The 13217-nt window shown below is 39.4% G+C and overlaps 1 protein-coding gene across 13 annotated transcripts in view; it reads right to left on the bottom strand.

The window, feature by feature from the left end:
• The window catches only part of TPST1 (tyrosylprotein sulfotransferase 1), a 161654-nt gene that overhangs the window by 69611 nt on the left and 78826 nt on the right, over positions 1–13217 (bottom strand). For all 13 annotated transcript variants that reach the window (XM_047420959.1, XM_047420957.1, XM_047420960.1 and 10 more), the window contains exon 3: positions 4124–4322. In XM_047420959.1, the coding sequence (XP_047276915.1) occupies positions 4124–4322 (199 nt within the window). The remainder of the gene's footprint in view (positions 1–4123; positions 4323–13217) is intronic.

Below are 13217 nucleotides of genomic sequence, written 5' to 3'. Positions count from 1 at the left end.
AAAAGACACAGACTGGCAAGGTGGATAAAGAGTCAAGACCCATCAGTGTGCTGTATTCAGGAAACCCATCTCACGTGCAGAGACACACATAGGCTCAAAATAAAAGGATGGAGGAAGATCTACCAAGCAAATGGAAAACAAAAAAAGGCAGGGGTTGCAATCCTAGTCTCTGATAAAACAGACTTTAAACCAACAAAGATCAAAAGAGACAAAGAAGGCCATTACATAATGGTAAAGGGATCAATTCAACAAGAGGAGCTAACTATCCTAAATATTTATGCACCCAATACAGGAGCACCCAGATTCATAAAGCAAGTCCTCAGTGACCTACAAAGAGACTTAGACTCCCACACATTAATAATGGAAGACTTTAACACCCCACTGTCAATATTAGACAGATCAACGAGACAGAAAGTCAACAAGGATACCCAGGAATTGAACTCAGCTCTGCACCAAGCAGACCTAATAGACATCTACAGAACTCTCCACCCCAAATCAACAGAATATACATTTTTTTCAGCACCACACCACACCTATTCCAAAATTGACCACATAGTTGGAAGTAAAGCTCTCCTCAGCAAATGTAAAAGAACAGAAATTATAACAAACTGTCTCTCAGACCACAGTGCAATCAAACTAGAACTCAGGATTAAGAATCTCACTCAAAGCCGCTCAACTACATGGAAACTGAACAACCTGCTCCTGAATGACTACTGGGTACATAACGAAATGAAGGCAGAAATAAAGATGTTCTTTGAAACCAACGAGAACAAAGACACCACATACCAGAATCTCTGGGACGCATTCAAAGCAGTGTGTAGAGGGAAATTTATAGCACTAAATGCCTACAAGAGAAAGCAGGAAAGATCCAAAATTGACACCCTAACATCACAATTAAAAGAACTAGAAAAGCAAGAGCAAACACATTCAAAAGCTAGCAGAAGGCAAGAAATAACTAAAATCAGAGCAGAACTGAAGGAAATAGAGACACAAAAAACCCTTCAAAAAATCAATGAATCCAGGAGCTGGTTTTTTGAAAGGATCAACAAAATTGATAGACCGCTAGCAAGACTAATAAAGAAAAAAAGAGAGAAGAATCAAATAGACACAATAAAAAATGATAAAGGGGATATCACCACCGATCCCACAGAAATACAAACTACCATCAGAGAATACTACAAACACCTCTACGCAAATAAACTAGAAAATCTAGAAGAAATGGATACATTCCTCGACACATACACTCTCCCAAGACTAAACCAGGAAGAAGTTGAATCTCTGAATAGACCAATAACAGGCTCTGAAATTGTGGCAATAATCAATAGTTTACCAACCAAAAAGAGTCCAGGACCAGATGGATTCACAGCCGAATTCTACCAGAGGTACAAGGAGGAACTGGTACCATTCCTTCTGAAACTATTCCAATCAATAGAAAAAGAGGGAATCCTCCCTAACTCATTTTATGAGGCCAGCATCATTCTGATACCAAAGCCAGGCAGAGACACAACCAAAAAAGAGAATTTTAGACCAATATCCTTGATGAACATTGATGCAAAAATCCTCAATAAAATACTGGCAAACTGAATCCAGCAGCACATCAAAAAGCTTATCCACCATGATCAGGTGGGCTTCATCCCTGGGATGCAAGGCTGGTTCAATATACACAAATCAATAAATGTAATCCAGCATATAAACAGAGCCAAAGACAAAAACCACATGATTATCTCAATAGATGCAGAAAAGGCCTTTGACAAAATTCAACAACCCTTCATGCTAAAAACTCTCAATAAATTAGGTATTGATGGGACGTATCTCAAAATAATAAGAGCTATCTATGACAAACCCACAGCCAATATCATACTGAATGGGCAAAAACTGGAAGCATTCCCTTTGAAAACTGGCACAAGACAGGGATGCCCTCTCTCACTGCTCCTATTCAACATAGTGTTGGAAGTTCTGGCCAGGGCAATCAGGCAGGAGAAGGAAATAAAGGGTATTCAATTAGGAAAAGAGGAAGTCAAATTGTCCCTGTTTGCAGACGACATGATTGTTTATCTAGAAAACCCCATCGTCTCAGCCCAAAATCTCCTTAAGCTGATAAGCAACTTCAGCAAAGTCTCAGGATACAAAATCAATGTACAAAAATCACAAGCATTCTTATACACCAACAACAGACAAACAGAGAGCCAAATCATGGGTGAACTCCCATTCACAATTGCTTCAAAGAGAATAAAATACCTAGGAATCCAACTTACAAGGGATGTGAAGGACCTCTTCAAGGAGAACTACAAACCACTGCTCAAGGAAATAAAAGAGGACACAAACAAATGGAAGAACATTCCATGCTCATGGGTAGGAAGAATCAATATCGTGAAAATGGCCATACTGCCCAAGGTAATTTACAGATTCAATGCCATCCCCATCAAGCTACCAATGACTTTCTTCACAGAATTGGAAAAAACTACTTTAAAGTTCATATGGAACCAAAAAAGAGCCCGCATTGCCAAGTCAATCCTAAGCCAAAAGAACAAAGCTGGAGGCATCACACTACCTGACTTCAAACTATACTACAAGGCTACAGTAACCAAAACAGCATGGTACTGGTACCAAAACAGAGATATAGATCAATGGAACAGAACAGAGCCCTCAGAAATAATGCCGCATATCTACAACTATCTGATCTTTGACAAACCTGAGAAAAACAAGCAATGGGGAAAGGATTCCCTATTTAATAAATGGTGCTGGGAAAACTGGCTAGCCATATGTAGAAAGCTGAAACTGGATCCCTTCCTTACACCTTATACAAAAATCAATTCAAGATGGATTAAAGATTTAAACGTTAAACCTAAAACCATAAAAACCCTAGAAGAAAACCTAGGCATTACCATTCAGGACATAGGCGTGGGCAAGGACTTCATGTCCAAAACACCAAAAGCAATGGCAACAAAAGACAAAATTGACAAATGGGATCTAATTAAACTAAAGAGCTTCTGCACAGCAAAAGAAACTACCATCAGAGTGAACAGGCAACCTACAACATGGGAGAAAATTTTCGCATCCTACTCATCTGACAAAGGGCTAATATCCAGAATCTACAATGAACTCAAACAAATTTACAAGAAAAAAACAAACAACCCCATCAAAAAGTGGGCGAAGGACATGAACAGACACTTCTCAAAAGAAGACATTTATGCAGCCAAAAAACCATGAAGAAATGCTCATCATCACTGGCCATCAGAGAAATGCAAATCAAAACCACTATGAGATATCATCTCACACCAGGTAGAATGGCAATCATTAAAAAGTCAGGAAACAACAGGTGCTGGAGAGGATGCGGAGAAATAGGAACACTTTTACACTGTTGGTGGGACTGTAAACTAGTTCAACCATTGTGGAAGTCAGTGTGGCGATTCCTCAGGGATCTAGAACTAGAAATACCATTTGACCCAGCCATCCCATTACTGGGTATATACCCAAATGAGTATAAATCATGCTGCTATAAAGACACATGCACACGTATGTTTATTGCGGCACTATTCACAATAGCAAAGACTTGGAACCAACCCAAATGTCCAACAATGATAGACTGGATTAAGAAAATGTGGCACATATACACCATGGAATACTATGCAGCCATAAAAAATGATGAGTTCATATCCTTTGTAGGGACATGGATGAAACTGGAAACCATCATTCTCAGTAAACTATTGCAAGAACAAAAAACCAAACACCGCATATTCTCACTCATAGGTGGGAATTGAACAATGAGATCACATGGACACAGGAAGGGGAATATCACACTCTGGGGACTGTGGTGGGGTTGGGGGAGGGGGGAGGGATAGTATTGGGAGATATACCTAATGCTAGATGACACATTAGTGGGTGCAGCGCACCAGCATGGCACATGTATACATATGTAACTAACCTGCACAATGTGCACATGTACCCTAAAACTTAGAGTATAATAAAAAAAATAAAATAAAATAAAATAAAAATAAATGAAAAAAAAAAAAAATATATTTTTCTGATCATTAAATAGCAAGAAATAAAATAAGAAAAAAACGTATTCAGATCCCAAATTCAAAATCTAGTTTTCTCAGTTGCTTTAAAAAATCTCACTTACCCTTCGAGTGTTTTCAATAATTTTGGGATCAGGTTTTCCGTAGTTAGGTGGGTTGGCATATGGGTCATATCCAAGCTTGGCAAGCATAGGAGCAATCACTGCCATGTCTTGTAAAACATCTGGCGGTATCTTCCCAACCCATTTTGATAGAGCTCCTACATTGACTGGCTTGATTACTTGGTCTGTAGATCTCTCCACTCTGAAAACAACATAATATGAATAAATATTTATTTAAAATTTTTTAGAAAATCATGCTTTAAAACCACTATAAATTATGTTTTAATGACTAACAGTTGTCTGGATTACAAAACAATTGAGAAAGAGGGCACTAATCAGGTTTGACACTATTTACCAGAATTAAAAAATAATTTAAGATTGACAGGGATTATTGGCAATCTCAGATTTCTAGAAATTGGGAAAAGGGTTAGCTGAAACATGTGCATTATTAAATGTCTTGACACTGTAATTACAACATCCAGGAAAAAAACAGTAACAAAATAAAGATACAGCTGCTTAGAAAAATTGTCAGTCAACTTACTTGAAATGCTTACCAAAAAAAAGACAGACTGATGGATGGAAAGAGGGACAAATAGATGGTCAGAGAGATGGACAGTGATAAAGTAAATACAGCAACATGTTAATGGCACAATCTAGCTGGTGGGTATAAGTCTTTCAATTCTTCTGTACATTTTAACTTTTCGTAACAAAATGTTGGGGGAAAACTGCCAACCATAAACCACTAAGAACGTAAAATATTCACTTGTTCTATTTTCCTGCTGCCTTCCTTAAAAATCTTATTTTCTACAGAAGAAAAAAAAGGGCTGTTTTTGATTTTCAATATTACAGGATTCAATATTACAGAATAAATGTGTTCTACCTCTTGACATGGAAATTTACTCTAAGCCTGTAGTGATTATACTCACTATATTTGACTAAATAACTAGCAACCTCAGGATAAAATGTAGCATCAAATGACATTTGGATTTAAGCTGGATCTGAATTAGATTTTGGCCAAATGACTATAAAACAGAAATGCTTAAAAGAGACTTTTATATCGTAATACATAAAAAGTTATTCAAACATAGTATTCTAAGAAAAGGTAAAGGCCCTTTTAATTAAGAATATAACCTCTTAGTGAATAATCATTATCTGATGAGGAGTCTCCTAAAGGGGATCTGCTTCCAAAATAATAGAAAAACAATGCCTCTTCCCTGGGCTTCTGTGGGGCTACCTGCTCCAGGTTTCCCTCCTACCTCAGGAGCCACATTCCTTTCTCCCTTTTCAAATATTTCTCCAGGACTCCACTTAACCCACTGCTCCCTTCACTCTATCTATTCTCCCTGTATTGCTTCATCCCTAATGTTCTTTGCTTGACATTCTTAAACTGTGTAAAGAACATCCTCGTTTGCCCAGGACAGGTCCAGTTTACACCTAGCATAATTTACCTCAGCGTAATTATTAAAAGCACCTGCCATTCACTCCCATCAGTGTTCAGGAATGAGCAGAGGATGTTATATATGTATTGCATAAACTGTATTACTTTTCTAAAATCCAAAAAATTCTGAATTCTGAAACACATCTGTGTTAAGTATTGGGGTCACACATAGAGTCTTGTATGTCATGACTGGGAAGCTGGGCTTACCTTGAAGATAATAAGGAATAAGTGAAGAGTTTTAATAACAACTGATATGAACAAAGTATTATTATTAGCATTCAGTGCTGATAACTATGGGAAGAATAATTGGAGAATGAGGCAAGTGGGGTCAGGAAAATCAGAACAGATGCTCAACATGTTGGAAGAAAAGAAATGATTAAGGCTTCAATTAGATTAAATGAATTAGAAATAGAGATGAGACAAATTCCAAAGATAATTTTTAAAACTGCTAAGACACTGGGAGACCAAAGTGGGTGGATTATTTGAGGTCAGGAGTTCGAGACCATCCTGGCCAACATGGCGAAATCCCATCTCTACTAAAAATACAAAAATTAGCCAGGTGTGGTGGTGCATGTCTGTAATCCCAGCTACTTGGGAGGCTGAGGCAGGAGAATTGCTTGAACCCAGGAGATGGAGGTTGCGGTGAACCGAGATCACACCACTGCACTCCAGACTAGGCAACAGGGTAAGACTCCATCTTTAAAAAAAAAAAAAAAAAAAAAAGCTAAGACAGTGGCCAATTAGATAAGGCGGGGTGAAGAAAAAGAGAAAGGAGTCTATGATTAATTAATATTTGACTTGAAGGACAGATGTTTGTCTGTCATTCAATAATATAGACAGTATGAAGAAAAAGCATGTGGGTTTTTGATATTGTTGCTTTGTTTTGTTTGACATGTAGAGAACAATAAAAAAAATGTAAATTAATAGTAATCAGAAGGTCACCAAAAATCTAGAGAAAAAATCTGAATTGACTGGAATGTAGTAGATGCTCACTAAACAACGGCTATTATTATTTCACACTGATGGTAGCTCTGCTTCATCAGAATAGTGAAAGCCATATTTATCATTATGATTGAATAAATGATTTGAAGAAAAAGTATAATCATTTCTTGTCTGAAAAAGAGCTCTAAAATAAAAGACTTTGCAAAGGCTTTGCTGTATAACCACTGAGTTTACAAGAGCCGCTAGCAGCAAATGCAGTTAACTATGGCCTCTCAAGGGGAAGAACATGGGAAACCTATGCATATCAGTCAAGTGTTTCTCTTTAAGATCAGCAGAAATGACATTTTATATATATCAAGCATAAAATTCAAATTCAACAGTCACTTCTTAAATACCCACTATGTGGGTTTGATATTAAGGATACAAAGATGACTGACTAGGCCATGGCCTACCTCTCAAGATACTCAGAATCCAGCAAGAGAGACAAAGGTACACATAATACATAGCATCATAAATGAAATGACAGAGGTTAGAGACAATATGACAGAAGTAGGCCATTCTTTTCATGGGGTAACACATGACTAGGGCAAGTTACTAAGCAGCTAAGGCAAGGGTTAGCATCTATGAGTCACACATTAAATTAAATTGACTCACACTGCCTGTTTTTGTCTGGCCTGCAAGCAAAAAATGGCTTTTACATTTTTAATGTTTTAAATAAAAATAATCACATTTCATTACACATGAAAATCATGTGAAATCTGAGTATCAATATCCATAAGTAAAGTTTACTGGAACACAGCCACACTCATTCATGTATAGATTGTCTATGGCTGCTCTTGTAGTACAACGGCAGAGTTGAGTAGCTGAGGAAGAGACCATATGGCTTGCAAAATCTAAAATATTTACTATCTAACCCTTACAAAAAAACTTTGTCAACCCTGATGTAGGACTGTATCCTAAGGAAAAATAGGCTTTCTGTGTGTGGTCTCAGGTGATGTCTTCCTGACAGAAGGACCACATCAATATTCACATTCATGGAGATAACCTGGGGTTTTTTTTGTTTTTGTTTTTTGAGACGGACTCTTGCTCTGTCACCCAGGCTGGAGTGCAGTGACGCAATCTCAGCACACTATAACCTCTGCCTCCTGGGTTCAAGCGATTCTCCTGCCTCAGCCTCCTGAGTAGCTGGGGATTACAGGCCACCACCATACCCAGTTAATTTTTGTATTTTTAGTGGGGTTTTGCCACATTGGCCAGGCTGGTCTTGAACTCCTGACCTCAGGTGATCTGCCCACCTCGGCTTCCCAAAGTGCTGGGACTACAGGCATGAGCCACCGTGCCCAGCCACGTGGTATGGTTAGAGAATAGCAAGTGAGGAGAGCTAAGAATGTATTGAAGCTACTAAGTTGGGAGGATGGAAGGGAGAAAAGAAACAAGTGTTTACTCAGTGTTGCACTTATCGGGTTCAAGAAACACATTCGTTCAACCCAAAGGATAGATCATTAAAATAAAATAGAAAATGAGAACAAGATACGATGCAGTCCCAATCTTCAAGGAGGTCACGGTCTGGTTGGGGAGCCACACAAACATTCCACATTGAAACTCTCAGAGTTGCCTCTTAGTCCCGCATCAGCTCTCTGGGCTTCACTTTTCCCTCTTTCCATGGGTTCTAGTTATTTAGCTTATGTTTTTCTAAGAGGCAGCAAAGTGTAGTGGAGAGAACGCAGACCTGGAAGTCAGGTCTGTATGATCCAGTTTTGTAATCTAAGAAAAACTCTGATCCTAAGAGACTGAGGATAATGACCACTAACAGACGGAGACACAGTTTCCAAAACATTTTCAAAGCAGGAGTTGACAACTATTGCTCCAATCTGGCCTGCTGCCTGTTATGTAAATAAAGTTTTACTAGAACATAACCATGGCCATTTGTTCCTGTACTGCCTATGGCTGCTTTTGCTCTATAACAGAAGAGCTCAATGCTTACAACAGAAATCATATGGCCTGCAAAGCTAAAAATATCTGGCCCTTTACAGAAAAAGTTTGCCAACTTTTGTTCAAAAGGACACAGTGATTAGAGGGAAATGGGCCTGGAACTGAGAGCCTAATTTTCTTTTCTCGATAATAACCTGCAGACTGCAAGGAGCTCATTAAATCTCCCCTATTCCTTCAGTCCTTACAGAATTAACCAACACTTAGATCTAAAGCATACTACGGTATGAACTAGATACCATTCTACACCCCTTTAGCTTACTGAGACCTCAAAACATAGTGCCTCACAGACTGGTACATTTCAATACACACGGCCCATGCACACTGAGACAAGATATCTGTGACTCAGCAAGTTCTCCCCAGTCCCAACTGCCCAGGCTTCCTTCCGTCTGTGGCAGTCACAGTGGCGGCAACTCCTCCTCAAGGAATGGGGTCTATGCCAAAGTCTTGAATGACTGAGGTGAATACAATTCTCCACGACATTCATTTTAAGCATGGATCTTCCACGAGACTCAGTTAAACACTACAGCCAGGCTGACTGCCAAACCACAGGTCTGAATTATGATACCCAGCAACTACTACAAGAAACCAAATCCTCCATATTAAAGCATAGGGGATGGAACAGATATGCAAAAAGGAATGAGTGAAAGAGTACATAATCCAAGTGGTTAGGTTTATTACAGTAAAACATGTAATGAAATACCATTAAAAACCATGTTTTCAAAGACTTTCACTATTAGAAAATGCTCAGGTCATGTCTTGTGAAAGAAGATTTTAAAATGTATATACAATAGAAATTCAACTTTGTGAAAATGTGTTCTACAGACCAATAATGAGTTCCTAAATTGAATTAGTACTAAAAAACCTACCAACCAGAAAAAGCCCTAGACAGGAGGGATTCATAACCAAACTCTATCAGATGTATAAAGAAGACCTTGTACCAAACCTACTGAAACTATTCCCAAAAATTCAGGAAGAGGGACTCCTTGCCAACTTATTCTATGAGGTCAGCATCATTCTGACACCAAAACCTATCAGAGATACAACAAAAAAAGAAAACTTCAGGCCAATATCCCTGATGAACACAGATGCAAAAATCCTCAACAAAAATACTAGGAAACAGAGACTAGAAGCACATCAAAAGCTAATCCACCACAATCAAGTAGGCTTTATCCCTGGGATGCAAGGTGGGTTCAACATACACAAACCAATAAATGTGATTCATCACATAAACAGAACTAAAGACAAAAACTACATGATCATCTCGATAGACACAGAAAATGCTTTCAATAAAATTCAGCATCCCTTCATGTTAAAAACTCTCAACAAGCTAGGCATCGAAGGAACATACCTCAAAACAATAAGTGATATCTATGACAAACCCACAGCCAACATCCAGAACATGCTGAAATGTTCTGGAGGGCCCACAGATGTGGAAATTATGTATTTGTAAGAATTATATTAAACAATCTTTATTTGATAAATAGTACCTTACAATTCTAATGCTATCTATCAAACTTCAATAAGAGCAATTTCAGCATCAAGTAATGAACAATAGCTAAACTAACAAGAAATCAATCAAAAGTGCTTTAAAGGGAGCAGCACCAGTTGATGTGCTGCTGGAAGCATACCATACTGGAAGTATTCCCATTGAGAACCAGAATAAGACCAGGATGCCCTCTCTCACCACTCCTACTCAACACAGTACTGGAAGTCCTAGATAGAGTAGTAAGAAAAATAAAGGCATCCAGGAAGAGTGGAAGTCAACTATCTTCCATATTTGCAGACGATATGACTTTATACCTAGAAAACCCCACAGTCTCTGCCCAAAAGCTTCTAGATCTGATAAACAACTTCAGTAAAGTTTCAGGATACAAAATCATTGTACAAAAATAGCATTTCCATACACCAACAATATCCGAGCTGAGAGCTAAATCAAAAACACAATCCCATTCACAATAGCCACGAAAACTTGAACCATGTGTGTCAGACCCATGACCTACAAGAAGATGGCCCAAGATCTGGCCCAGGAATTGGAGAAAGACGCTTCCAATGCTTAGAGGAAGGTCCTCTTCTATGAGAAAACAGCCCAAGAATGCTGGGTGGCTTCCACGTCCACTGTGCGAGTGCTCTAGGTGCTCTGGAAAGAAAATGACCACAATAGGCAGAAGCCAGCTGACTGTGAGGTCAAGTTTCAGCCTTTCCCAAGCTGTCCTTTGGTGCCAGGATTTCCGTCTGCAGCCCACAAGGGCCGAGAAATGCCAGGGGGACTGTGGGCCACCACACCCCCAGGAGGGAGGCAGGTCACGATGTGAAGGCTTAGGTCCAGAGCACCTGCTGGTTTGATTCCGTTTTCCCCATAGGAGAGTCCTGAATGCCCAGAGCCTTAGCAGCACATCAGCTGGTGCTGCTCCATTTAAAGCCCTTTTGATTGATCTCTTGTCAGTTTAGCTACTGTTCATTACTTGATGCTGAAATTGCTCTTACTGAAGCTTGATAGATAGCATTAGGATTGTAAGGTACTATTTATCAAATAAAGATTGTTTAATATAATTCTTACAAATACATTATTTCCACATCTCTGGGCCCTCTAGAATTATACAGAATAAGTATTGTATTTTCATTTAGAGAAAAGGCCCCTCTTACCCCAACATCATTGTGTTTCATATGGATAGGAAAGTTTAAAACAAAGACCGTTTCTGATCTATGAGCTGTTATTAGAAAATAGTAGAGTAAATTGGCCAGAATAAGCTTTAGTTTTAAAACAAAACAAAACAAAGAAAAGAGTATGCTTATATCTGCTGGTGGGAATGTAAATTAGTTTAGCCACTGTGGACAGCAGTTCGAAGATTTCTCAAAGAACTCAGAACTACCATTAGACCCAGTAACCCCCTTACTGGATATATACCCACAGGAATATAAATCGTTCTACTATAAAGACACATGTAACTGTATGTTCATCGCAACACTGTTCACAATAGCTAAGACATGGAACCAACCTAAATGCCCACAACAGTGGACTGGATGATGAAAATGTGGTAGATATACACCATGGAATACTACACAGCTATAAAAAAATGAAATAGTGTCCTTTGCAGCAACATGGATGGAGTTGGAGGCCATTATCCTAAGCGAATTAATACATGAACAGAAAACCAAATACTGCATGTTCTCACTTATAAGTGCTAGCTAAGCACTGAGCACACATAGATACAAAGGGGAACAACAGACGCTTGGGCCTACTTAAGGGTCGAGGGTGGGAGGAAGGTGAGGATCGAAAAACTACCCATAGAGTACTATGCTTATTACCTGGGTGATGAAACAATCTGTACACCAAACCCCCGTGACAGACAATTTACCGGTAGCAAACCTGTGCATGTACTCCCTGAACCTAAAAGTTGGAAAGAAAAAAGCGATGTGTTCTAAATGCATGTTATATGTATGTTTAGAATCATATCAGAATGTTTACAATGCAGCATGATTTTTATTTTCTTACCTAACTTATCCATATTTTCCAATTTTCTATGATAAACTTTTTTTTTTTTTGAGACGGAATCTCGTTCTGCCACCCAGGCTGGAGTGCAGTGGGCTGGAGTGCAGTGGTGCGATCTCGGCTCCCTGCAAGCTCCGCCTCCCAGGTTCACGCCATTCTCCTGCCTCAGCCTCCCAGTAGCTGGGACTACAGGCGCCCGCCACCAAGCCCAGCTACTTTTTTGTATATTTAGTAGAAATGGGGTTTCACCGTGTTAGCTAGGATGGTCTCAATCTCCTGACCTCGTGATCCGCCCACCTCGACCTCCCAAAGTGCTGGGATTACAGGCGTGAGCCACTGCGCCCGGCCCAATGTCTTTCTTTTTTTACCTCATGCTGTCATGGGACTCGCAGAATCACGAAGAGTATCTTCACTCAGAAGTCTAATAACTATCTCAAGCTCAACATAGTCCAAACTGAGCTCTTTATGTCACCCCTAAAGTCTACCTTACCCGCACGGCAGCCTCAGCCTTCTAATCTCAGTTAAAAGCAACTCCATTCTTACAGTTGCTCAGGACAAAACCAGAGTTATTTTTCAACTACATTCTCTCATACTTCACATCAAATCCATCAGGAAATCTTATCAACTATACCTCAAAATATATGCAAATCTGGCCACTTCTCATTAACTCCACTGCTGCTCCCCAAGTCCAAGCAAACATCTCTCACCTGGATTTCTGCAATTTTTTTTTTTTTTTTTTTTTTTTTTTTTGAGATGGAGTCACATTCTTGTTGCCCAGGCTGGAGTGCAGTGGCACAATCTCAGCACACTGCAACGTCCACCTCATGGGCTCAAGCAATTCTCCAGCCTCAGCCTCCTGAGTAGCTGGGATTACAGGCACCCACTACCACACCCAGCTAATTTTTGTATTTTTAGTAGAGACAGGGTTTCGCCATGTTGGCCAGGCTGGTCTCAAACTCCTGACCTCAAGTGATCCACCCAGCCTATTTCTGCAACATTCTTCTAATAGGTCCCCCTACTTCTTCCTCTACATTTCTATGGTCTATTCTCAGTCTATCACCAGACAGAGCCTTTAAAACACCAGTCAGGTCATGTCACTCCATTGCTCAAAATCCTGCAATGACTCCCTAGTCACTCAGAGTGACTAGGCACTGGAAATGAGAGGGAATCTGAGTAATCACAGAATAGTTTTTCCTATTTGAATAGATTTCCTGATTTGTATAGATTTAGGGGAT

Source organism: Homo sapiens, chromosome 7, assembly GCF_000001405.40.
Source record: "Homo sapiens chromosome 7, GRCh38.p14 Primary Assembly".
Taxonomy (NCBI): Eukaryota; Metazoa; Chordata; class Mammalia; order Primates; family Hominidae; genus Homo; species Homo sapiens.
This window is presented reverse-complemented; position numbering and strand designations above follow the sequence as displayed.